This window comes from Homo sapiens, chromosome 15, assembly GCF_000001405.40.
Source record: "Homo sapiens chromosome 15, GRCh38.p14 Primary Assembly".
NCBI classification, from domain to species: Eukaryota; Metazoa; Chordata; class Mammalia; order Primates; family Hominidae; genus Homo; species Homo sapiens.
In genome coordinates, this window is record NC_000015.10 from 93973146 (window position 1) to 93999796 (window position 26651).

Consider the following 26651-nt stretch of genomic DNA (forward strand, 5'->3'; position numbering starts at 1 on the left):
CCATTTATAGGTATGTGATGGTTTTTAAATTTCTTTCTCCTATGAGACTTAAGAAAAAAATTTAATTCTATGAAATTCTATTTTAATGTGTCAGTTACTATATTGGGGAATTATTAAATCTTCATCTATCAATCTTTGGAAGAAAACTAGATTTCTGGGCGTATACTGGATTTTCCAGACAGATTTTTTGTGTTCTCATTGTAACCCTGTTTATTTTCCTCTGGTTGGAAAGGCCATGAGTGTCTCTCTTAATTTACAATGTTGAGTTCCTTTGCTCTCCCCTGGGTCTCATTTCTCCCAAACAATTCCTTCAGCTGCACATCATTGAGCAAGAGGGACACCATGGATAATGGAAAGATCTACGGCAAGGCTGGCTGTCTGCCCTGTCTAAGGAGGACGTACTGGACCATCCTGCTCTGCACATCCAGATGTGTCCATGAATACATCCATAAAACGATGGCCTGTGGAATCCTATAGGAAAATGATCCAGAGCCTGGGCGGTCAGAAGGAACAAACACTTGATTTACAAAATAAATCTTCTATGTTTATGTTTTAAAGACACACAGAGGAAAAACATTTTTAAATTCATGATTTCCCCCCCCAGATTTTAACTATTGTAATCTCTTTCTTTCCTGAGCCTTAGGCATCTTCATTATAAACCAAAAGATATAACTTGAGATTTTCCCAGGGTTTATATACTCGTTAGAGTTGGAAACATGAAAATGGCAATTTGGGATGTCTCTTTGGAGTCAAAAACCTTATAAAAATATAATGTACTTTCTCTCTCTCTTCATTTCCTCATTTTTCTGGTCAAAGCTAGAAGAGTAAGATGTCTTTGAAACTATTAAGATAATTTTTAAGACATGGTATAATTGTGAATTTTATATAGATATAAAATGAACAGGTATCAAAGACTTTATTAGCTTATTAATTAATAAGAGAACGGGTAAATGTTATAATTGGTATAAAAAGCAGAGGCATATGTAGGAAATTAGGAATCTGAAATGAATTTACAAATTGATGGTCTATCCATGAGGCAATAATTGGTTGCATTCCACCAGTCACAATTGATTTGCATTTCTATGAACAAGAGATGGATGAGCTAGACAGGATAGTCACTCACTTTTTGTTCTGAGCCCATTTCAAAGTCTCAGTTGTTTTCCTTACTAAAACATCTATCTCTAATATCCCATTATATGTATTAATATCCCATTATATATTATATTTTATAATATATAATGTATCCCATTATAATATATATTTTTTATAATATATAATATATATCCCATTATCCCATATATATTCCCATATATATTATATAATATAAAATATATCCTATTATAATATATATTATATATTTTATATATAAGTGATTTCCAAATGAGTTCTATATATATTATAAATTAATATCCCATTATATATACATTTGCATAAATATATGTAATGGGATATTAATTTTTAATATACATAGAACCCCTTTGGAAATCCCTTTCCACAATTACAAGCAATAGATATTTTGGCAGAGTTTTAGTTATGGGGTGATTAGATTTTCTAGCATGTTGAGATTTAGTGGGTCTTAATTTACCCAAAGTCATTTAACCAAAGTAAAATTGAGATTCAAACCCAGATAGATTCTGATTTTAAAAAGCCATGTTTCTGTCTCCTCCCCCTCAAAAAAATGGGTGAAAAAATGGTGGCTCAGGGTCAGATACAAGCTTTTCACTTGTAAGGGTAAAATAATTAAGTCATAAATGATTAGAGCTAAATAAACCTCTCTTAACCAATATCTTCCTGAGAAGCACAATAGTTGACAATAAAGCCGAGAAGCACTGGGAAGCTGAGATGCAGACCTGCACTCTCTCTGTTCGGGCTTCCCCTTGCCTTCTCAGTTATTTCCTTGGCGCCTCTAAGGATCCCCAGAAAACTGTTTCAAATCCTTGAGTTCATCCAGTCTTATCAAAGACTCATCTCTGCATTAGAACTGTTATTTTCTTATTCCAAACCCGGTGCTCATCTATGTTGTCTTTACTGAAAATAAGGGTTAGTCTTGAACTAGTATTTAAATTTAAAGTCCAATGTCTGAACCAGGCAGCCATCAGATCTGATTTAGGGAACACCTGCCCTCTTGTGGTTCTCTGAGCTCATCTGTCTGGAGTTAAGGAAACCTTTTCCAGCTTTCGTTGTGGAGACTCTTCCCGGAGGAGACCATCTTGAAAGAGCTTTATGGAAGAAAGCCAGCCTAAAGTCCCAGTCCAATTTGCCTAGAGATGAAGGCAAGAGGTGGTAAATAGGGTGAGTAAGAGGGTCTTTAATCCAGGAATAAAGATGTAATTGTCAAGATAGAACATCTCTTTGCCTCCTTTATCAATCTGCTGCTGAGTCCTTGGAGTTTGCCACTAATCAGGTATAGCTTTGAAAATGTAAAAGAGTTTTTCAGATACTCCCAAACACATTAGCAGTTGCAAGAGTATCAGTTGGAATGGACTAAGGTATGCTGAAAAATCATACCACCCCCAAATCTCAGTGAATTATACAACAAAATTTAATTCTGAATTATTCTAGGTATTTATTTTAGTCAGGGTTCTCCAGAGAAACAGAGAAAAATAGGATAGATAGATGATAGATTAGATAAATATGTACATACATATATAGATACATAGATTCATAGATGCATACATACATAGAAAGATATAAGAGATTTATTATGAGAATAGGCTCACGTGGTTATGGAAGCTGAGAAGTCTTAAAATATGCCATCTGCAAGCTAGAGAGTCAGTGAAATAGTTTGGATACTTGTCCCCACTCAAATCTCATGTTGAATTGTAATCCCCGATGTTGGAGGTGGGGCTTGGTGGGAGGTGTTCGGGTCATGGGGGTAGATTTCTCATGAATGATTTAGCACCATCCTCTTGGTGCTGCCTTCATGATAGTGAGTGAGTTCTAATGAGATCTGGTTATTTAAGAGTATGTGGCACATTCCTCTCTCTCTTGCTTGCTCCTGCTTCACCTTGTGAAGTGCTTGCACCCACTTCACTTTCTGCCATGATTGTAAGCTTCCTGAGGCCTCCCCAGAAGCTGATGCTGAAGCTATGCTTCCTGTACAGCCTATAGAGCCATAAGCCAATTAAACCTCTTTTCTTTGTAAACTACTGAGCCTCAGGTATTTCTTTATGGCAATGCAAGGGTGGCCTAATACAGCCAGAAAAGCTAGTAGTATAATTAAGTCCTATTCCAAGGGTCCAAAAACCAGGGAAATCAATGGTATAATTCTCATTCTGTGGCCAAAGGTCTGAGAACAGGGACAGTAGGGAGAATGGTTTGAGTCCTGATGTTCAAAGAAGCTCTGATGTCCAAGTACAGGAGAAGATAGAAGACCCAAGGGGAGAGCGCAAATTCACCCTTTCTTTATCTTTTTGTTCTATTCTGGCCATGAATGGATTGGATGGTGCTCACATTGGGGAAGGCAATCTTCTTTACTCATCCTATTGATTCAAATGCCAGTCTCTCCTGGAAACACACTCACAGATACACCCAGTAATAATGTTTTACCAGCTATGTGGGCATCCCTTAGCCCAGTCAAGCTGACACATAAAATTAACTATCATGACGTCCGATGAAGATTGTCAGAGGAGCTTGGCTCACTCACCATGGTCCCTCTATCATGTGCACTTCATTACAACATGCACTTTCACTATTCCCACAGCAGTAGGAAGAAAATGTGGGTCTTAAAAGTTTAGTTCATACGTGATGCACATCACTTTAGTCCTTTTATTAGCCAAGTCAAATCACATGGCTGTACGTAGCTTCAAAGAAGCAAACAAGCTTTGTCCCACCGTGTTCCCAGGAGAACGAGAACATCTACCAACAGCATCAAGATCACCATACCAGGATGAGACTCAGTACAGTAGAACACTGAATTTTCAGGGTATAAAAGTATATACTTTTCTAAGTGTATTAAGCCTTGTGGCTCATCATTCTTCTTTATGCATACATTACTCTTTGTCCCTAATGTTCTTCCCTCTCTCAATATCTCTCATTGTCCTACAGACTCCCTCCTTTATGGCTCCAGTACCATCGAATCCCCTTAGTTAGTCCTGGCCACCTCTTATTGGAATTACTTTACAAGACACTTTACAGTGTCTTTATCTGTTGGCACTGCCTGACTAGGAGATCATTGCCCAGGCTAGGGGCTGCCTGCTGCTCTCTCCCACCCACAAATTAGGACCTATTGGCACTAAAAGCTTTGAGCCTGGCTTTGCATTGCCCTTGGAACATTCACATTTGAATTATTTTTTCAACCCAAGAGAGAAGTCACCCCAGACCCTCAAATGCCCCAACTTCTTTTATTTTACCACTGTCTAGTGTTTAGAACTCTGAATGCCTTATAGCCACATATTTAGCTATGATACTATAGAGCTTTATCCTTCTAACTCCCAGGGCTGGTAAATTATATAGCCTTTTACATAAAAAGAAAATACAGTTGACTAACCTGTTGGATTGGTGATAAACTCTGGAGGGGTGGGGAGAAAAGAGTGTCTACTTGACTGATAACCTCAACACATTTTCCTGTTTTCCTTCAACCTACTGCTTCCTCCTGCCCTCTTTCACAGTATGTGGGTCACACACAAAAAACATTATTGCACGGATGGGAGAGTCATGGAGAGGAGACAGGATGACTCCCCCACCAAAGGAGTACTTCATTTGGATTGATTGTTTTCATTAAATTTTCAAAAATCCCTTGGAAGAATGTTTGAACATTTAAAAATCATCATTCCCTAATTTCCTTATGTTTGAGACCTTTATTTGAAAAAGATGAAGCACAAAAATTGACTGGCTTGTATGTGGAAAACATACTCTTTCAGATTTGTCACATACAGCCTGTGGCCTAAGGCCTATAGTAACATCCAAAGTGGGAGGATGGCAGAAGAGGAGGCATGTAAAAGTCTTCCCCTTGGGAAGAATCTTGGGATAGTCAGAGTCAGGGGCAGGAGTTCACTGGAGACCCATCCTACCCTACTCCCATCCCCACTCAATATTTGCCATTTTCTCTATAGAGGCCATTTTTCTCGGCTGCAGTTTCTTGCATGAAAAGACATAGTATATGGGAAGTCCTCTGGGATCTAATTGTAGTTCACTTACAAATTATGCAAAAAATAGGCAATCACTGAAACTCCCTGAACCTCAGTGTCTTTATCTATTAAAAAGATATAATATCTCATGCCTCGTTCACCTTCACAGTAGTTTACTCCGCTAACATTTGAGATAATAATTGCCAGCACTTGGTGAACACTATGTTAAGACTGAATTTTTCTTTTCTTTTCTTTTCTTCTTTTCTCTTCCTTCTTTGCCTTCTTTCCTTCCTTGCCTTCCTTCCTCCCTTCCTTCCTTCCCCCCTTTCTTTCTTTCTTTCTTTCTTTCTTTCTTTCTTTCTTTCTTTCTTTCTTTCTTTTCTCTTTCTTTCTTTCTTTTTCTTCCTTCCTTTCTTTCTTTCTTTCTTTCTTTTCTTTCTTTCTTTCATCCTTCCTTTCTTCCTTCCTTCCTTCCTTCCTTCCTCTTTTCTTTTCTTTTCTTTTCTTTTCTTTCATCTTTCTTGAGATAGAGTCTCCCTATGTTACCCAGATGCTGGCCTCAAGTGATCGTCCCTCCCTCAGCCACCCAAGGTGCTGGCATGACAGGCATGAGCCACCACACCTGGAAGGTTGGATTTCACTGAGCCTTCTCAACAATACTATAAGGTCATTATGATGATTGGCTCCTTTTAGAGAAGCAAGCTGTGACTCAGTGTAGGTAAGTGATCCATACAGTTAGAGTCGGTAAATGGTCGAGCTGGTAAGAGCTGTAACCATTACGAATGTCAGCTCAGATAAGCCAATAGACTAGCTTGAAATCATAGGAAAGGCTCCACAGAGGCAAACGATGGCTGCTGTCTAGTGCATTCCATCTCAGAAGGCAGGACCTTGGCCACCAGGTTGGTGAATGCAGGTGAATGCAGGTGCCAGATGAAGCTGGGGAGGAGCAGCAGGATTTAATAGGCTTCTAACTCAAAGGGAGCCAATAGAAGTTCCTTCTGGAAGATTCTAATTGCGAAGCTGTCATTTTCATTAGTCTGGACTGGTCGTTTGAACTGAGAACTGGTGCACTGTGGAGAGGTTGGTCAGTCAGGAGGAAAAAGTGGTCTGGAAAGGGAGTAAAGATGGGGCAAGCATGGATGAAACCAGGTAAAAAGAGAAGAAGGATGAAGAAAGCTGCTGCTGGCTTCTACATGTAAGTGCAGCCCCTTTTGAAAAACAGAGTTGCATCCTGTCCTTCAGTACTATAAACTAGCACCAATTTCTCCCCGGTTTTTATGTGAGCTATTTTGAGTGCTTTTGTGTTACTTTATCACAAACTTAACAACACCTTCTCAAAACCTCTCTCTCTTCATCCCAAAACTAATTTACTTATCCTCTTCTCCTTAGGAAGTTACTGGTCATTTTGGTTAATTATAGAAAAACATACAGGGTCTTAACTTTGTTTAAAGTGGTCACAAGGCCAGATGTGGTGGCTTACGCCTGTAGTCGCAGCACTTTGGGAGGCTGAGGTGGGAGGATTGCTTGAGCCCAGTAGTTCAAGATCAGCCTGGGCGACATGGGGAGACTCTGTCTCCAAAAAAAAAAAAAAAAAAATTATAAAATTAAAAATAAAAAAAAGTGGTGGCTAGTACCAGCTTTCACTTCAGGGAGACTCACTGTGACTCCAACTCCATTTCTGGCCAGCTGTGTAATCTTGAACAAATTGTCTGTTCTGAGCCTTAATTTCCTAACATGTTCAAAAGAAAACCAATAGTCACTACTTGGTAGGACTGTTAGAAAGAATGAAAGGGAAAACACACAGCATGGATGGCACAGTATTTTATACATTGAAGGTCTTCAATAGCTAGTAGCCATCAGTGTTGCAATTCATTCTTCCAATTCTAAAAGCTCTCTTTTGGTTTTGGTTCTACAAAAGTCACTCCCTGTGCCCATTCACCAGCCCTAGGTACGTGGAGACCAACGACATTTTAGTTTTTGGCCAATTTCTTCTATTCAAACACTCTGATCAGAATTCAGTCATATTAGGGTTAAAGAAAAAAAAAAAACCCTTGATTATCCTCTGTTCTTGAAAGCACTATCACCCTTGTTGGCTTAAGGCCAACCTGATTTCTGTGCTGAAAGAGCTGCTTTTTGCTTGGAAAAGGCAATGGCTGCCAGCTGCTTCCTCAGATGCTGTCTTCACTGCAGATAGCAATAAACAGCTGCAAGGAATGTGTTAATTGGTCTTGATCAAGATGTCATCTTCTGCGTTATTATTGAGTCAATGCCAGGTAGACAATGCCAGCAAACAGACAACAGTGAAAGTTGTCCTGATGCAGGAAAGTTGTACTCATTGCAGCTAAAGTTGTCCTGATGTAAGCCTTAGCTTACAGCATTCCCACTCAATCTCATTGACAGATTAAAGATCTCCACACATGTTTCAACTGCTAGGTTAATACATGTATGGACATTACTTAACTGACTTTGTTTATCATCCATCTGCTTAAGAGATGGAAGATAATTTACTGCTTTGAAGAGGTTTATTTAAAAACCACTTCCCAGAGCTGGACAGAGCTGTTCTATGGTGCAACACCCTGGCCAGATCTCTAAACACTGGTCTGTATGGCCACTCCTCCTAGTTCACACATCTCCCCCTTGCTAAGCCCAGATGCTACAAGTGTGGTCCAAGAATCGATGCATGAGCACATTATCAAGTACTGAGGACCAGGAACATTGGTGATGGTGCCATGGGCACCCTCTCTACCACTAACTGGCTATGTGACCTGGAACAATTTACTTAACCTTTCTGGGCTTCAATGTCTCATCCCTAAAATGTGGAGATGGACATTAGTATTTGCTTTGCAGATTTGTGAGGATAAGGGTTATGCATAGCTATTGATAATGACAAATGCATAGTAAGTGCTGAAAGAACATATTTGTTGTGATGCTGATGACACTGATGGTGATGCAAGTGATGTCAAGGAGCTTGGAGTCCTGTTATACGTGGGCTTGGTGAGACATTTAAAGAACATCTGGCCCTTTTAGCTCAAGGATAGAAGTGACTATCTTTTGACTTCTTCTGCCTTCTCGCCCATGGCTGCACCAGTCTGTGCACCTGTATCTTTATTTACTGTCCTAACATGAGCCCTCCCGACTGAAGTTGCACTCATGACTTGAGTCCTATGCACAGATCTTGACACTTGAATCAGAGACTTCTTTTGTCCTGAATTTTCTTTTTCTTTTCTTTTCTTTTTTTTTTTTTGAGACAGAATTTTGCTCTTATTGCCCAGGCTGGAGTGCAATGGCATGATCTCGGCTCACTGCAACCTCCGCCTTCCGTTTTCAAGTTATTCTCCTGCCTTAGCCTCCTGAGTAGCTGGGATTACAGGTATGCACCACCACACCCGTCTAATTTTGTATTTTTAGTAGAGACGGGGTTTCTCCATGTTGATCAGGCTGGTCTCGAACTCCCGACCGCAGGTGATCTGCCCACCTTGGCCTCCCAAAGTGCTGGGATTACAGGCATGAGCCACCATGCCTGGCCATGTCCTGAATTTTCAAACATAGTTGGTTCTCAGATCCTGACCTAAAGCACCCTGCGTGACATCATGATCTTCCAAAACCACTCATACAGGCCCCTGTCAGAGCTGCAGAGAAAGAAGCTGGCTGAAAAAAGGCCATATAGAGATCCTGGTGGCTCCCTCAGGGAGCACTACAGCCCCTGCAGTCAGCACAGAGGGGCACCCTGATTAGGCTCTCCTATTAAAGCTGCCTCAGGACACTGGCTCACCTTGTGTGTTAGCTGGTGAAGAACTCAGGACCCTCAAAAGAGAATTCAGGCCAAAAGAGTGGTGTTGCCCCTTCTCTGGAAGCATTTGAATTACTACTATAAGGTAATAATCTTTGTGTTTTAGATTTTCAAATCTCAAACAATAAATATGTTGCTTTTAATTATTTTTGGAATACAGCCAACACAATATTTACCAAATCACTTTCAGAAGGCCAGTGAGGAAGCCCAAAACACAGCAGCTACACCCACTGATTTCTGTTTTTCTAAGTTGAAAACTGATCCGTCTCGATTGCAGATGATTATGAATAGTTTTGTACGTCCAGCAACATATTGCTAACCTCAGCCTTTCTTTCTTAAGCTCATTATTTGCTAATGATTTTCTTGGCCACAAAGCTCATAAAATTCCCTTGAGTTGCTTAAAAAAAAAAACCTCTTAGGACATTTGTTCCATTTGTTCAGCATCTGCGCCGGACAACATCTGGAGCCTGAGGAAATTCCACAGCTCAGGGTATGATGCGTAAATGAAATTACTTTTTCATGCACTTCAGAAGAGATTCAAGAGCATCTTTCTGACCAAACAAGCCCTTTTGTTCTCCTCCAGCAAGTGTTTCTCATTAAAAATGTCATCTCCCTAATAAATTGCCTTATTGCCCCTGCAGCTGGGCCTATTGTTTTCATGGTTTTGTGCTCACTCTGATTCTCACAGGAACAGAAAACCAGAGAAAAATGGGACTTTTCCCCCATTCTGTCTCCATGAAATGCCTTTATTTCACCCTTTGTGTTTGAGTGAGAACTTGTCTTTCATCGGAGCCCTTTATTCTCCCAATAATCACTGCTTTTGGCCCAATATTCACTGCTTTTGGCAAAATATCCTCAGACACATCCTGTCAGATATACTTTTCCTACCTAGATACTGGATGGTGGCAGCTTGCATCCAGGGATCCCAGCTCAGGCCAAAAAGTGGCATTTTGGGGATTATGTCCTAGTGGTTTATTCTTTGTAAGAAAATATCCAATGTGATCACATCTTTAGTCTCTGCCATAAGAACATATACAACAATTTTAGGGATGGCAAGGATAAAGAGATTAACTTGGGACAAGAATGGGGGTTAGGATGAGATGTGTGTGTCTGTGTGTGTGTGTGTGTGTGTGTGTGAGAGAGAGAGAGAGAGAGAGAGAGAGAGGGAGAGAGAAAGAGAGAGGGAGACCTGGGATTAGGGGTTCCTATAGAAGCCACAGAAAAGATTTAAAACAATCTTGGAAACATTTGATGCAAGCTATGTTCCTAGAGTTGAGGGGTGAAAAAATATCTTTTTTTTTTGGTATCTCTGGTCAGAATTAACCTTGAATGTGAAAAGTTCATCTTCTATCAATTTCTTTCCCCCATATCCCTTCAGCCTCTCCTTTTCACTGGCCTCTATTGCTAACATTTATTCACTAGGTCAGCAGGAATTTGTACAACCAAACTCATCTTCCCCAGTTATTTAGTCCACTTTCTATCTATGCACAATGTAAAATAATAATAACAATAATAAGGAGAAGAAGGGCCTAACTGGAAGAGAGAAAAGACATTTCTGGCATGCAAATTGCTTTGCACTGAAAATTCTTTTGGAATCTCCAGGCTTCCTTTGACTTTTTCGAAACCTTGAAAGGAAGGGTACAGGAGGCTAGTAGACAGAATTGGCTGGCTGCCATGAGCTCGGTGCTTGGGCTAATTTTGCATACAAGTTCCCTGAATTTTCTTCACTAAATGCAAACATAGGCCACCATTAACATCTGCTCTCTGTGATTCTTTTGCAGCAAAGCTGCAGATCCCTGAGGCCAAGGCTGATGAAAGATGTGGGTAGCCGATTCTGTCCTGTGACCTGGAGGCTCTGAATTTGTGATTGAAGAGATCCTGCACAGTCCTCTCCCCTGTCATATCAGGCATCTGCAAGGCATTCTAAGGACCTCTAGGAGCACACAGTTCAATCCAGCAACCTCTACTAAGGGTCACAAATGCCTATGTCCAAGTCTATGCTGGCCCTGTCAAAGTCCCGTCTCTGCTCTGCCCCCAGGGTCTTACGGGCTACAAATGGGACAACTTTTTAAATACTCACACATGTTGTGATCATTTGTAAGTCCAAGTCACAAAAACAGCAGAAGTAGAAAGTTTTACCTTAGAGTGAAAATCAAGGGTGGTGTTGCTACCAGATGGTGCCACTCAGTTGCAGGTTCTTGGTGTCCCGAACAAAGAGTTGGACAAGACACATACATAGCAAAGCAAAGCGATGAAAGTGTATGAAGCTCAGTATTACACTCTCGGAGCAGGAGAGCGAACTGACCTCTGTGAGATGAGATCACCATCAGTTTGGTGTAGTTTGGGTCTTTTTATGTGTTTTTTTTTCTTCTCTTCCCAAGGCTGCCTAATCTCTCGCCAGTGTCTACCCTTTAGATTGATAGGTGTGTTGCTTAGTTACTTTGGCCCCTGTGCGCTTGTGCATCATCTCTATCCCATAATTTTAAGTACATGCATGATATGCAGCCCGTAGGCATGAACCTTAAGTAGCTGATTATCATACAAGGTTATGTTAAGGATACTTTTTCTCTCTAATGTGCATGCCCATCTCTGAAGCGCTGCCTCTTACTGGTTTGGTCCCAGTCTTGCTGGTCATGGGGTCCTTGCTCACCTTTTTATCTCACTTTTTTTTGGCTGCTGAATATCTGCTTTTTATCTCCCTTCCTGTTCACCCATCCCTTCACCTTGCTTCTGTTCTCTGCTTTTACTTATTCTGTGCTGTATCCAACTTTTAATTCCCTTTGCTATTCTCCGGCCTCATTTTCTCTATTTTTCTCCTGCCTCAGTGTTACGGTGGAGTTGGTCATTGAGATAGATTTTGATGCATGAATCAGAGTTCTCAGGGAAGACAAGGTGGGAAAGGCTTTTGTTTCGGAGAGACTAGGCTATAGAAAAGCACAAAGGCACGAGATATCCCTTTATTTGTACCATCATTTGTCCTTTGTTCTTTTGTTCAACAATTTAGGACTTACTAGATTGGCTGGAGCTTGGTACACCCAAACTCAATTTTAGATGAACAGACACCCTTTTAGGGGCTAGTGATACAAGGATGAATATGACAAGGAGTCTGCCAAGTATTTTTTTTTTCCAGTAGGGGCTACAGACCCGTAATAAATATAAAAGTAAATGTATAACATACAAGCGCTGCAAAGAAAAATAAATCATAATAAGAGTGAGATTGAATATTAGGAAAAGAAGACCTGAATACAGTGATCTTTAATCTCTCTAAGGAAGAGACTCTTCTGAAGACGCATGAATTTGAACAGTCACAATGGTGCGTGTTCCAGGGATCTTAAGTACTTGGTACTTATTGAAGCATAAAGTGGCAGGAAGAGAATAAAGCATGATGTCCCTGGGGATGTGTAGAGCTGTATAATGAGGAATATCTGAGGTGCATACTAAGCAACATTAATGTAAATACGTAGGCAAGATCGGCACAGACATTAAGAAACTGTAGTTTGGTAGCAGAGTGGGCTGGAGAGGTGGCAAGTGTTTTAGAAATATGACTCAGGTACTAATGTGGACACTGCTTTAGCGTGAGGAGACTCTGGATCCACAGATATTGGGTTACAAGATGTTGTCAACCCAGTTATCAGTGTCAGCAGCAACAGCATTTATTGAGCTCCTCCTGTGTACAAGGAACTGTTCTGGGCACATCAGTAGTGTTAACTTTTTAAATTCCTCAATAGTACTGTGAGCCAGAAAGTTTAAGTAGCTTGCCCAGGGTGTTCTATCCACCCGGCAGAGCAGGAACACCACCCAAGCAGTCTGGTGAGGTCAGACACAGAGCCGTAACCACTGTGCTATACAGACTTCCAGCCATCATGAGAGACCATGGGTGCTGGACATGAGGGTAGTTTCTGGGGGGCCTGAAGGCAGGGAATGCTTTAAGGTGTAGTAGTTGGCAAGACTTCCTTAATTAATTGGGATGTGATCATGAAAGACAGGAAAGAGTAGAAAATGCTCCGAGGGGATGGATCTTGCTTGGAAAGCAATGTGTACTATGCTGCCACCGACGGAGATGTGCACTGGTTAGTGAGTTTCAGCCAGAGGACCCAGTGGGTTACGCAGGAAGCAGCTGGAACTTTCCCACAGATGGGTGATTTGATTAGTCACCAAACACAACCAACTGTTACTTGATTTGGGAGCAGATTTCTACATAATATGACAGAACAAACCATGTCTCTCTACTGCTGAGAAATTTTTGATAGCTCCTTAGCAAATTCCAAATTTAGTACAAGTTCCTTTATCTGGGATTACGGAAACAAACAAACAAAAAATCCTCTATAGTATAGTTCCAATAACCCTCTTCATCCTAATCTCTCTTTGTTTGCCTACTAAAAACCCAATCTCCAGTTAAATGGGCTGAGCACAGGGCTGGGTCCCTGATGAATGCTCTGTCATTTAAACCTTACATGGTCTATTGGAAATGGCATGGATTTAAATATCGGAAAGATTTGGGTTTGAATCTAGGCTGCTGTCCTTAGTGTACTTTGGTGAGTCATTTGATCTCTCTTGCTGTTTCTTGGCTAGCCTGGGATGATCTCTGACCTACCATCTCCTGGAAAGGATCAAACTATAATGACCAACATTTGTTGTCCTGTTGCTAGTGCCTCGAATTTTTCTAAGGTCTCTGTAAGCAGTTTTTTGTTTGATTCCCCAGGAACCAAGACACAAGATACCATTGTACAGATGTAGACAACTGAAGCACAGAGCAGTTAAACCACTTCCCCAAAGTCACACTTGCCAAGTTAGGACTGGGTGCGAATTAAATCCCAGGAGCCCTGACTCTATCCTATCAGTCAATATTATGACTGATTAATGTTACATTGCTAAATTGACTGAGATTGCTAATCTAAAGCACCTGGCACATGACAGCTCCCCTCTACAAATGGGCATGGCTGTCTTTCAATAAAACTTTATTTACAAAAAGAGGTGGTGGGCCAAGCATAACTAGGAGGCTGATTCTTGACTCTCTGCTGACTCTTGACATAAATTGCAGTAAAATATAGAAAATAATTATGTAGTGATGGGATTTCATTGTTTTTTAATGTAATGTATTTAATTAAATTAATTGTAAGCCTGAATAATTTAATTTTAGAGAATGGCTCTGTTTAACAATCGGCTCATGGAGTTTCTGAAAACTTAGCAGCCAGCTCTCACAGGCTCACTCAAACCCACTTCCTGGTTACAATTCCAGTCCCTGCCCAGCTGTGAGAACTGGGGCAAATGATCTCAGTTTTTTCACCTGGGAACCGGAAGTGGTTCCTACCGAGCTGTGCTCTGAATAATCGGAAATAATGTATACAAAGAGCTCAGCAGCTAGAATTCAGTAACTGGTGCCCACAGCAATAAAAGAGGAGCTGCATTAATGATTCGTATTTCTCTTTGGTTATGGCCTTCAGGCCAGTTCATAAAAGATAGAAGCTGGAAAGAAGGGAGGTGAGATCCAAGGAGATACAACTCGCCTCTTTTAAGTGCCTCGCCTGTACCAATCACTAGGAAGTGATTCCAATCCTTTATTCACTGAATCTTCATCGCAAACCTTTGAGTGTATTGTCTTTCCTATTTTACAGCTATGAACCACAAGATTCAAAGGGGTGGAAAGCTTCGGGGGCCCTCAGTTGTCAGGGAGCAAAGCAGAGTTCCATCAAGGTCTTCCTGATTTGAAAATGCCCTCCCTATCGTGTGAGTCAATCCTATTAAGGGAAGCCAGGGTTCTGAGATAAGTCAGTGGTATCAACCTGGTAGCAATCAGTTTTATTCCAGTTAAACCCTTAGGTTCAAAATCAAATTCAGAGACCCATTTTATTGAATAGCTGGATCAGTTGGTGTTTTACACTGACAATAAATGCAGGCCGGCTAAATCACTAGGCATATACTGAATACTGAGCTAGGAACTAGGGATGTTCAGATAAATGACATAGCCTCACCTTGAAAGGGCTCATAACCAAGCCAGGGAGACAGATCGATCAAATAATGAGGATAGCGAAGGATTTGATAATGTAGCAGGGCTATGGGGGAGATCATACAAAGTGCAGTTAAAGAATAAAGGCTGTCAAGACGGGCTACTCAAAGGAGAAATTGCAATTCCCAGACAATTCTTGTTTCTTATCTCTCTCACTTTCTGGGCACCTGCGTGCATTGATAATGATCCTTCTTGCTCACTGGCACCTGCTTGCTTTGATAATGATCCCTTCTTGCTCACTCTCCTTCTCCCCCATCACTATATTTCCTACACCATCCTCTTCATTCCTTAGGACTGGCAGAACTTCTTGTGGAAGCCCTTTCTTGAGGTACACAGGGTGGGCTCGGCACCTTCTTGTATGCTTCTCTAGGTTCCTCGGCATGTGTGTCCTTATTGAAGACTTATTGCACTATCCTGCAATGGTCTATTTAGGCATTAGTCTCTCCCACTAAATAAGGAGTTCCTTGAAGGCAGAAGCTGTACTGTTTGACTTTGTTAATGTAGCACCAAGCATGACATCTGGTCTAAACTTATGCTCAACAAATGCCAGGAGAATGAATAAATGAGCATAGCCCGAGCTGGATCCTCAGGAACATGAGGGACATGACACTGGAAAAAGGTAGAGAATGGGCAAGGAAGATATAGGGTAACAAATGTTCTGGAAAGATTTTATGGCCTGGCATGGTGGTGTCTCACGCCTGTAATCCCAGCACTTTGGAAGGCCGAGGAAGGTGGATCATTTGAGGTCAGGAGTTCAAGACTAGCCTGACCAACATGGTGGAACCCTGTCTCTACTAAAAATTAAAAAAAATTAGCCAGGCATGGTGGCATGCATCTGTAGTCCCAGCTACTTGGGAGGCTGAGACAGGAGAATCGCTTGAACCTGGGAGGGGGAGGTTGCAGTGAGGCAAGATGGCGCCACTGCACGCCAACCTGGACGACAAAGCGAGATTCTGTCTCAAACAAACAAACAAACAAACAAAAAAACACCTTCCAAAAAGGTCTGAAGATACTATCATTAACAAATGTTTCTCTCTTTGTCTTTCCCTTACATCTCATAAAAAATAACACTGTCTTTCACTTACGGTATTTTTTCCCCCAGAATCTAATTTTTATACTTTTAGTCAATTATAGATGCTTCCTAAATGTAAGTCTGAGACTCACCTAACTCTATTTGGGAAGAATCTAGCAACCACTGGGAGTGACTAAAACTTGGTTGTTCCTAGCCCTGTTCCCTTAGTTATTCCTTGCCCACCAACTGACCATCTGAGGCAATCTCATGAATGGCTGTATTAAAAATATATTGCAATTCCATGCCAAACACTATTCATTTATCTTCCATCTGTTTAAAAATGTATTAATAGATACAATTTGCTCTCTGGGACCTTTGGCTCCTCCCCAGGTTCCTGATTATTTATTTATACTGACTGGCTGGGATTCTTTTAGGCAGGATGATTATAATAAGACCTAATCTTTCCCTTTGCATGGTAGACGACTCATGCTACTTTTCTCTTAGAATCCTCCAGGCAGCATTCTGTCAACTTCAAAATGAGTGTTTCCATGTCAATGTTCTTCCTTCTCACAGCAAAATAAATTCTGGAATCAGTGACTTCCTTCCAATTAAGGCCAATTCCCATTTGTTTTTGACTTTATGGCTGTGGCCTGTGGAGGACAGAAAGGATTAATAATAATTTATAAGTGAGGCAAGAATTTAAACCGAACACATCGGAGGTGGTCTGATTCTGCTCCACGGCCTCTGAGGCCTCAGCTAGTAAGACTGGAGAACAGCTTGGGTGACAGGGACAGCTGGGAGCTGGAATCATCTGGAGGCTTCCTCACTCACAGGTTGGGGGCTTGGGCTGGGATGACTTGAAGGCTGGGATCAGCTGGGATTTTCAAGTGGAATGCCTGCATATGGTCTTTCCATGTGTCTTGGGCTTTTTAGAGCATGGTAGCAGGGTTCCAGGAGAGTCCAAGAGACCATGGTGGAAGCTGACCTAGCCTTGGAACCCACACTGCCACCTTCTTTTCTTACAAACAAGTCAGCCGAGGGTCAAGATGAAGGGCAGTAGATGCCATCTCTGGATATCAGGGATAATACCTGGCAGAGAGCAAATGCTTGATAAATCACAGCTTTTATATTATCCATACCACTGTACAGGGCCTCCCAGAAAACTAGAGTTCCTTTATTTTCCCAAATTCTTTCCTGTGAGTGAGTAATAGAAGCACTGTAAGATAACTGTCTTTTGTTTAAAGAACATTGGATAAGGGAATAGAATGAGGTTGCAATTTGGTTGTTTTGGTTAAAGAAGGAATTGAGATTGTAACATTATGATGGAATTTGATTTTCATTCTCACTATGTACTAGGCACAAAATCATAGAAAATGGTTTCATTTTATGCTTTTATTTCCACTTGAAACATGGGAGTCATACACAGAAACAGCTTTCTTTCAATTACATGGCTAGTAGTAGGTAAAGTGGGACATGGCATTTTGAATCACAAGAATTGGTATGGGCAATATCAAATACGTGAGGAAGTTTGAACTTCCTACAGGCAAATGCCTATAATATACACACTCATATGGTGACGATCCATTCACTTGCTAACTTCATTAGCAAGTGTAAGGTTGGTGCAAACGTAATTGTGGATTTTGCCATTACTTTCAATGGCAAAACCACAATTACGTTTGCACCAACCTAATATTTACCAACCACCTGTAAGTTGGTTGAGCAGGATCAATTCTAGACAACAGAGCAGGGCAGTGAATAGAAAAACCATGTGTCCTTGTCAACCTTACATCTTAGCAGAGACTCGAGCTGGTTCCACCTTTTTGTGAGGAACTCATGCAATTTTCCCCATAAAGGTCCAGTTCACTAAATGGCCTCACATAACTTATCAAAATTGTATGAAGAAAAAAAATTATGTAAGTTTTTAATATGACACTAAAATTGTACTCTTTTCCTAAAGAATTCTTTGCTTACTCCACAAGTGTGCAGCTTAAGGGCATTTAGAATTATTTCTTGTAGATATTCAGATATATTTTAGGTGGAGCTATAGGAAATCGCTAATATTCACCCACTCTTTTTTTCTTTTTTGAGACAAAGTCTTGCTCTATCACCCAGGCTGGAGTGCAATGGCATGATCTCGGCTCACTGCAACCTCTGCTTCCCAAGTTCAAATGATTCTCCTGCCTCAGCCTCCCAAATAACTGGGATTACTGGCATGTGCCACCATGCCCTGCTAATTTTTTTTTTGTATATTTTTTGGTAGAGATGGGGTTTTACCATGTTGTCCAGGCTGGTCTCAAACTCCTGACCTTGTGATCCACCCACCTTGGCCTCCCAAAGTGCTGGGATTCTAGGCACTTTGGGATTCTAGGTGTGAGCCACTATGCCTGGCCCACTCTTTTTTTCAAAAAAAATTTTTTTTTGAGATGTAATCTCGCTCTGTCGCCCAGGCTGGAGTGCAGTGGCGCGATCTCGGCTCACTGCAACCTCCGCCTCTCGAGTAGCTTTTGGGGTACAAGTGGTTTTTTGTTACATGGATGAATTATGTAGTTATGAATTCTGAGGTTTTAGTGCACCCATCACCTGAGTAGTGTACCTTGTACGTAATGTGTAGGTTTTTTATCCCTGCTCCCCCACACTCCTCCCCCTTCTTAGTCTCTAAAGTCCATTACATCACTCTGTATGCTCTGCTTTCTCATAGCTTAGCTCCCACTTATAAGGGAGAACATACAGTTTTTGATTTTCCAGTCCTGTGTTACTGCACTTGGAATAATGACTTCCAGCTCCATCCAAGTTGCTGTAAAAGACATTATGTTGTTCCTTTTAATGGCTGAGTAGTATTCCACATACTATGGAATGTAAAAGAAAAAAATATATATATATAACATTTTCTTTTTTTTTCCTTTTCTTTTTTTGAGAGGGAGTCTTCCTGTGTCACCTAGGCTGGAGTGCAGTGGCACGATCTCAGCTCACTGCAAGCTCCGCCTCCCGGATTCACGCCATTCTCCCGAGTAGCTGGGACTACAGGTGCTGGCCACTGCACCCGGCTAATTTTTTGTATTTTTAGTAGAGACAGGATTTCACCGTGCTAGCCAGGATGGTCTCGATCTCCTGACCTCGTGATCTGCCCGCCTCAGCCTCCCAAAGTGCTGGGATTACAGGCGTGAGCCACCGCACCCATCCCACATTTTCTTTATCTGCTAAATAGTTGATGGGCATTAAGATTGGTTCTACATCTCTGCAATTGTTAATTGTGCTGCTATAAACATACAAGTGCAAGTGTATTTTTCATACAATGACTTCTTTTCCTTGGGGTAGATACCCAGTAGTGGAATTGCTGGATCGAATGGTAGATCTATATTCAGCCCTTTAAGGAATCTCCACTCTGTTTTCCATAGTGATTGTTCTAATTAAGATTCCTACTAGCAGTGTATAAGCATTCCCTTTTCCTCATATCCGCCAACACCTATTTTTTTGACTTTTTATTAATGGCCATTCTTGTAGGAGTAAGGTGGTATCACATTGTGCTTTTAATTTCCATTTCCCTGATGACTAGTGATGCTGAGCATTTTTCCGTATGTTTGTTGGCCATTTGTCTACCTTCTTTTGAGAAATGTCTATTCATGTCCTTTATTCACCCACTCTTGACCTATGAAAACAATTTTATATGATTTAAGTTATGTGCTGTCTAGAATTTTCTGAAGAAAATCAATTAATAGGAGTAATAAGAATATTGTGACATGTTTAAGTGAGATTTCCTAGAGCCCACTGTTTTGGCCTTAGATATCATGGTAAGTCTTGGTTTTAGACAAATACTACATATCACATTAAGGCAGTCTTACTATAATTATAATTTCACAGTAAAAGTCCATGGAAAGTTGTTGCTGACTTTACTTCCTCTCCTAACTACTCACACAGCAGGTGTAATCCTGAGGTCTCAGAACATTCATGTTTATGTCTTGCAATTGATTTTACAATAATAAAAGACAAGACACATGAAGAAATAATGAGACTACTTAAAGAAATAGCAAGGTTTAAATAATGTCACTTAGCTCTTCATGGTTTACAGAAAATTTTATAGGAATTATTATTTTATCTTCTCCTTATAACTATCTTATTAAGTAGGATTTGTGATTCTCATCATACAGATGAGGAAACCAGAGTTTAGAGAGATTAAATCTTGTCCAAGTTTGCCTATCCAGTGGTTAGATTTGAACTCTGTTTATCAAAACCCAAAACTAAATATGTTCTACACTGGTCTGCTCCATGTATCCTGACTTCTTCTTTTTTATTGAAAGAGGTCCTTCTCCTACTGGCCGTGAGTTTTCAATCCTGCATGTTTGTTAATCCATTGCCAATGGAAACGACCAGACAAGAGGAAGATTAGGAATGTCGTGTTGGTTTTTGGAATGGCATTTCTCAAAGAATATTGGGATGAACACTGATTCAGTCAGAGATTTAAAGGTGTTGTGGTCAAAAGAAAATTTTGAAGTTCAGTTAAATGAAGCTAAACAGCTTTATTTCTTTTAGCATAGGGGTTGTCAGAAATTTAAGTAAGCTAATATGCATTTGAATCTTTGAAAAGACACCGAAGAATATATAAGGACACACACATTAAACAGCAATGATTTTTTTGGGAAATAATCCCAAGGCTAGTGTCCCTTTTAGCACATTTTGGGAGTGCTGGATTAGAAAAGTCATCTCAGATTCCAGGTAAATAAATTACTTCTTTTCTTTATGGCAGACTTGCTGTAATGAGAAGAAATAAACATTACTAAACTCATCAAGGTTCGGGTAAAATTTCAGTGCTGTCACTCATCAGCCATGTTGACTGGGACGTATTATTTAGTAGTATCAGTACTATGTTATCTCATCTGCAAGAAGGTGGTAACAATCTCGAAAGAATAAAACTTTTGTTGAGGACTGAGAAAAATGGAAAGCACTTAGCGTAGTACTTGGCAGGCAGTTGGCATTCAGTCAGTGATGATAACTTTTCTTTCCCCCACAACTTGATCTGAGTCTTTGCTTTCCATTCCTGGACTACTGAAGACAATTTCTAAAGATAACACTTGTCAATGGCCCTCATCCAAGAGAATATCACACAAATATGATCTGCAGAGCACAGGGTATAACAGTTCTCACACATTGTGGAAATGTCAAGGTTTATTATGCCCCTGTGACATATTGCCATGGCTTAATTTACATTTCCATTTGCTTTATGAGAAGTTTCTTACTCTGGAACATCTGACCTCTCCTTGATGCCTCTTTTATTCTTCAAACTGCTTTCCTAGCCCATCTGGCCACATATTCTAACCCTTCACTTCTGAACCTGAAATCTAATGAAGCAAGAGTATAAAACAAGCCTCATTTCATTACTCTGCATTTTGTGAGCCAGTGGTTTCAACAGTGTATAGTTATGGGACCATTATAGTACTTTTCCTATGGGAATATCTAATGGCCTTCTGTGGAACAATTTTCTTCTTCTTTTGACCTCTATCTTAATATAATCATTCAAAGGATATTCAGTGCTTTGTGCCAAATTTTAGCCATGACAAACTACTTCAAGATTTCAACTTCATAAGCAAGAGAGACATATTTTCATAAAATGCTTTTTTCCCCCACTTAAGTTAGGTGCTTATTTTATTAAAATGAGAAACTCAGTTGACATTTTTCTACACTCAAACCCCTTTTTAATGGGAGAAAGGGTTGAGAGAGAGAAAAGGAAGGGAGGAAAGAAAAGCAAAAGAAGGTATGTATGCACACCCAAATACTTTTTAAGAAATAGGAACTGTCTCTCAAACTTGATTTTTTTTCCTTTGGCAAAGAAGGGAACCATGCATCTTCATGGGCAAAGTCAAGGTTGGCATATTTGACTCCCATCTGGCTGGGGGCCAAAGTGTAGATGAACAAGCCATTATTTAATTAGTCCAGGCAGAACCGAAGCTTCTGATCTGTTTATCTTACTTCATCTAAGGTAATCAGGATCTGCCATTATGTGAGACTAGCGTGGCTATGTGCAGATATTTCAAGCAGGTGACAGACTGGCAACCGGCCTTCCCCAGGTAAGATGAAAGAAACCAAAAGAGGATCCAAGTATTATTGGGAGCTTCAACCACACTGTGGGCCTTAAAAGAATTTCAAAGAGAAGGTCTCATTTAGTTTAGTCCTTACCATGGTCCCGTGACATAAATACCAATCATTTCACTCACAGGTGAAGAAAAGGAGGCTCAGAAAAGCTGAGCAACTTTTCCAGGGTCACAGAGCAAATGATTGGCAGGCAGAGGCTGCAAATCTAATTCTATCTGCTTAGACTTAAGGGTTCCGGGCACTAAGCAACCCTGCTTTTCACTCACATTACATCTTTTGGCTGCTACAGGCCATTGTTTACTCCTGGAGACTTCTCATTTGGCTCTGCAAATTCCATTTTATTTTTTTTTTTAATGAGAAATCATTTATTTTTTGACTACCTTTCCAAGTACCTGGATAATCCCTAAAAGTAGTACTCATAAACCCATGGAGAAGTTGTAAGACCTGATGTTTTTCTTGTAGTAGATGGAGTATTTGCTATGAACAGCAACATGATGGCTTATTTCCAAGGACTTTCCTCTCTTGCTCTCCTCCTTTCCCCGTCTCCTCATACACACACAGACACACACACACACACACACACACACACACACCACACACATTCATGCTCTCGATCTCACATGCACATATGGCTCACTTGCCCTAAATACAGTGAAAGAGATTTTACATTATTTAATTCATTTTGAGAGAGAGACTGACTTGATTCCTGCTGGTGATTAGCATGACTACAAATGCATGTGAAGCAGGACGGATGGCTAATTCTCCTGCCCTACAATTCAACTTAAACCATAATTCCTAAGATAGATTTCTTCTCTCAATATTAATGGGAACCAGATGCCTCTTGTTAATAATAATGTATGCTCAGGAAAAGAGAGACAGAGAGATTTTTTTTGTTTTGTTTTTCAAAAAATATTAGTGCTGTCTAGCAAGGAAGAATGTATAATTTATACTTAAAAATATATATTTGTGTTGAAATATAGATTTGTATTGAAAAATGTATATTTGTATGGAAATATAGATTTGTATTGATAATCTACCATCATTCAGGTAAGACCTACCTACATTATTTACCTCCCTGCAAGTAGGTAACATAGAATGTGAAAGAGACTTTTCTTTTGAGTTTATGCACTTTGTTCTTTATTTAGTGATATGATTCTCTCTCTCATACAATAAGAGATCAATACGAATGTTAACATGAGTTACTATTTTCCCACTTTATATGACATTTTAAATTTTAATTCCATTTGAGTTGTGATACTAACAGATGAGAAGGTACATGTGTTATTACCATGCAAATTATTTAATTTTTAATTAGGTCAATTCATAGGCAAAACAATACAAAATAAGGCTTATTCTGAAATAGTTACCTCATTTAGAAATTTGAGCGTAGACTGGCCATTTGAACAAGCTTCCTTTATTTCCATTGCCATATGCGGTTGTTCAGTTCTTTTCAAAATAAACTAAGTACTGCCTGCTGTGCACATGTGTTTGTCAGAACCATCCATTCTTGAGTAAGATTTAGGGGTAAAGCACACCAACCAGCAGCCTAATTATTCCAGAGTTTCAAGGTATCCATTCACATGCTCCAATCTGTCCACACTAGAATGAGGGAAATCCCACTGTGTGTCCTTAGGCAAGTCCCTAGACATTGCTGTGTCTTGGTCTCCTCACCTGTAAATGCTGGAAGACAATAATAGCTATCTCACATGATTCTCATGCAGTTTAGGTGAGAAAATACGTATCATTGTCTTCAGCAGCCCTTGGCATAAAATAGGAGATTGATGCGCTTTGGCTGTAATAATTATGATATTATTAATCAAGCAAAATATAACACAACAATAATTTATTGTCCCTTTCACCTTAAAGGGACAAATTATTCCCTTTTCAGATATTCTATAGCACAAATTTTCTGTGCAATCATAGAAGTGTTCAATTTGCTATCGCTTTGCTATATATCATGGTCTTACATGATCACTGTCTCACATAATCATTTAATATATAATATTGTTATATATCATAATTATAATTTTTGTTTTGCTTGTAGCTGAATTTGTTCTCTGCATCACATCTGATAGTCATAAAATTCCAACAAATGGGATGAAACAGAAATGTGCAGCTAGATGTCATATTTTGGGCATCACTAGAGGGAGCCAGAGGTAACAGAGCAATCACGTTTCCCAAAGTAAACTTCATTATGCATTAACAATATTTGCCAAATGTTGATAGCATATCTACAGTAAATACATTATGTAAACTTGTCCCTTGGTTCTAAAGATGTGTACAATATAATCACAGGTCTCAAGGAATTTATAATCTAATCAAAGAAACAAATAATATACATTAAAAACCCATTAAATGATCATGTAAGACGATATATAGCAAAGCAATCACAAATTGAATGCTTCTACGATCTCTCAGACGATTTGTGCTATAGAATGCCTAAAAAGGAAATTATTTGTCCCTTTAAGGTGAAATAACCTGGGAATGTTTCATGCATAAATACGGGCATTGAATAGGGTTTAGAGTACCAGAATCAGCATCCGGACTAGTGGAACCTTTAAAGGATGCAAGGAGTGATGCTGTGAATGTGCCCATCTCCCTCTCATGGAGGGCTCCTGTTTACTACTCTACTCCTTTATCCCTAGGGCATGGATCTGACTCAGCTACTCCCCATGTTAAATGTGGTAAATGGTTCCAACTGCTTCCTGGATTAAACTAAATGTTATAGCCTGGCATCACATGCCTACATTATTTTATTTAGAAGTAAGAATGTAAAGGTATACTTTTCAAGTCAAGGTATAGCTTGACTATAAAAGGGGCTAGCAGGTCATGCGTGGGCTAAATGTTAGGGACAGCGGGGACCCACGGAAGGTTTTTGAGCAGTTGAATATCTTGACTTAGTATCAGTATTAAAATAATTGTATAGGCACAAAATCGATGAATTTATTACCCAAAATTCTTATTCAATTCACTACCTTAAATCCAACTCCACTCATTGGTAGAAATTGAGTTACCAGTAAAATGCTAGTTTTTATGCTTCTTCAAAATTAGTGTAAAAATATGAAAACCAAAAACAATGTCATAAATCTTTCAGGTGTCTTGTCTTCCTTATCCTTTTGGGGTCTGGGGATTGGGGCAGCAACCTTATCAATAGTGGAAGTTACTTTTCCTCACAGACCCATTCAACTTGGAGCATGCCAGTTGTGAAGGTGTTATAGGTTTCCAAGAAATAGGAGCTTGAGAAATAAAGAAAGGAGTATCAATGAAATTTAAAGGGATTTTTTTTCTCTCTCTTAGAAAAACCAAGAATTCACATAAGGTGAGGAACGCTAGTTACTGGAAGGGGAGGAGTGTAATTTCCAAACAGCCTCATCACTGTACAGGATGATCAAGCAAAGCCTTATGACGGTACTGGCCCTTAAAAAACAGCCACTTGGAATAAAAAGTAGCCCTCATAGAGTTAACTTATCTGTGAAAAACCCATTGTCACTTCCTAGATTCTGAGATTTCTAAAAGTATAAAATGTATCATGTAACTTGGAGTATCTAACATGACTTGAGTTTCCACTGAGCATGAAAGTCATTTTTACATCTTTTCAAGTATTAAAGCATGTTTTTAACACTCACTAGCCTACCGAATTCCCCTTCTAGCCTTTCCTATCTTCATGGCACCCAACAGCTATTTTAGAGCAACTGTTCTACTCGAGGCACCCGGTAACTGCAGGAGATTTATGGAGAAACAAGTCATAGCCCTTGCTCACAAGCGGCTGAACTGACTAACCACAGGGATGATACAAGGAAACAAATGCCTATCATGTCCAAAGACTAAATAATATGTAGTGGAAATGCACTGGAGGAAGGCTTCTTGTCTCTTTTGAATTAAAACTCTGAAGAAATATTAAAGGTGGAGTAGATAGTAAAGACATGGGACTAGTAGATGAGCAGAAGCATCCTGGAGAAGGAATAATCAGGGCGAATTTTAAAATGAAAACTGCGTGGAACATGTTCAGAGCACAGCAATACTCCAGTTCAGCTAGATGGGAGAATGCGTGAAGGGGAGAACTGAGAGGGACATCATGCGACAGCTAAATGGGATGAAAGCATTCAGGCCTGGGATACCCAGATACGATATTTGGGTTTATTTCAGAAAGCAGTCAGGAGTCGTTTAGAGCATTTGATGTGGCGAGTAGCTGAGTCCGAGTCACAACTCAGGAAAATTTAAAAATTAGTCATAAAATAACAAGTGAATGAGAAACGGGAAAACCCAGGTAGCAAGGAGACCAGAAATGTTGAGAGAAAGATATGAAGCCCAGATTTTGGGATATTACAGAGAAATGCAATGATTTTGATGTGCTAAAGACAGTTCAGACATGTTGAGCCTGGGAAACAGGAGAATTGACAGCGTTCATAACAGAAATCGGAAAGTTGGGAAAAGAGTTGGAAATTGGACTCTGGAGGTATGGGATTACATAACTATATAGAGGAAGACAATAGATAGATGATAGATAGATAGATAGATAGATAGATAGATAGATAGATAGATAGATATCTTGCACTAAGAAAGAAATATAGGCCTAGAACCAAAGAGAAAATTTAGGCAAAGATTACTTGTTTGGGGCCCTATCTTAGTGCATCACATATGAATGCTGCATCTGTGATTAAAATTACATGAAATACCTAGTTTTGGTTT

The 26651-nt window shown here is 39.9% G+C and overlaps 2 long non-coding RNA genes across 3 annotated transcripts in view, besides 1 other annotated feature; one reads left to right on the plus strand and one right to left on the minus strand.

Annotated features, from left to right (window-relative positions):
• LINC01580 (long intergenic non-protein coding RNA 1580) overlaps positions 1–11005 on the plus strand; it is an 83450-nt gene extending 72445 nt beyond the window's left edge. The window contains exon 3 of one of the 2 annotated variants that reach the window (NR_120323.1): positions 10641–11005. This is a non-coding gene — a long non-coding RNA (long intergenic non-protein coding RNA 1580). Of the gene's footprint in view, positions 1–314; positions 788–10640 lie in introns of those variants that run through there. The other variant, NR_120322.1, reaches the window with a different exon arrangement.
• The window catches only part of LINC01581 (long intergenic non-protein coding RNA 1581), a 202536-nt gene that overhangs the window by 67743 nt on the left and 108142 nt on the right, over positions 1–26651 (minus strand). Inside the window, exons 4-5 of the long non-coding RNA NR_120320.1 lie at positions 9748–9876; positions 1851–2261 (exon numbers count right to left, since the gene is read on the minus strand). This is a non-coding gene — a long non-coding RNA (long intergenic non-protein coding RNA 1581). The remainder of the gene's footprint in view (positions 1–1850; positions 2262–9747; positions 9877–26651) is intronic.
• Positions 8200–10768: an enhancer, noted in NCBI's record as "VISTA enhancer hs1686". NCBI's record gives its function as "enhancer in: neural tube[12/12] | hindbrain (rhombencephalon)[7/12] | midbrain (mesencephalon)[8/12] | forebrain[5/12]" and the evidence as "EXISTENCE:transgenic organism evidence [ECO:0001131][PMID:17130149]".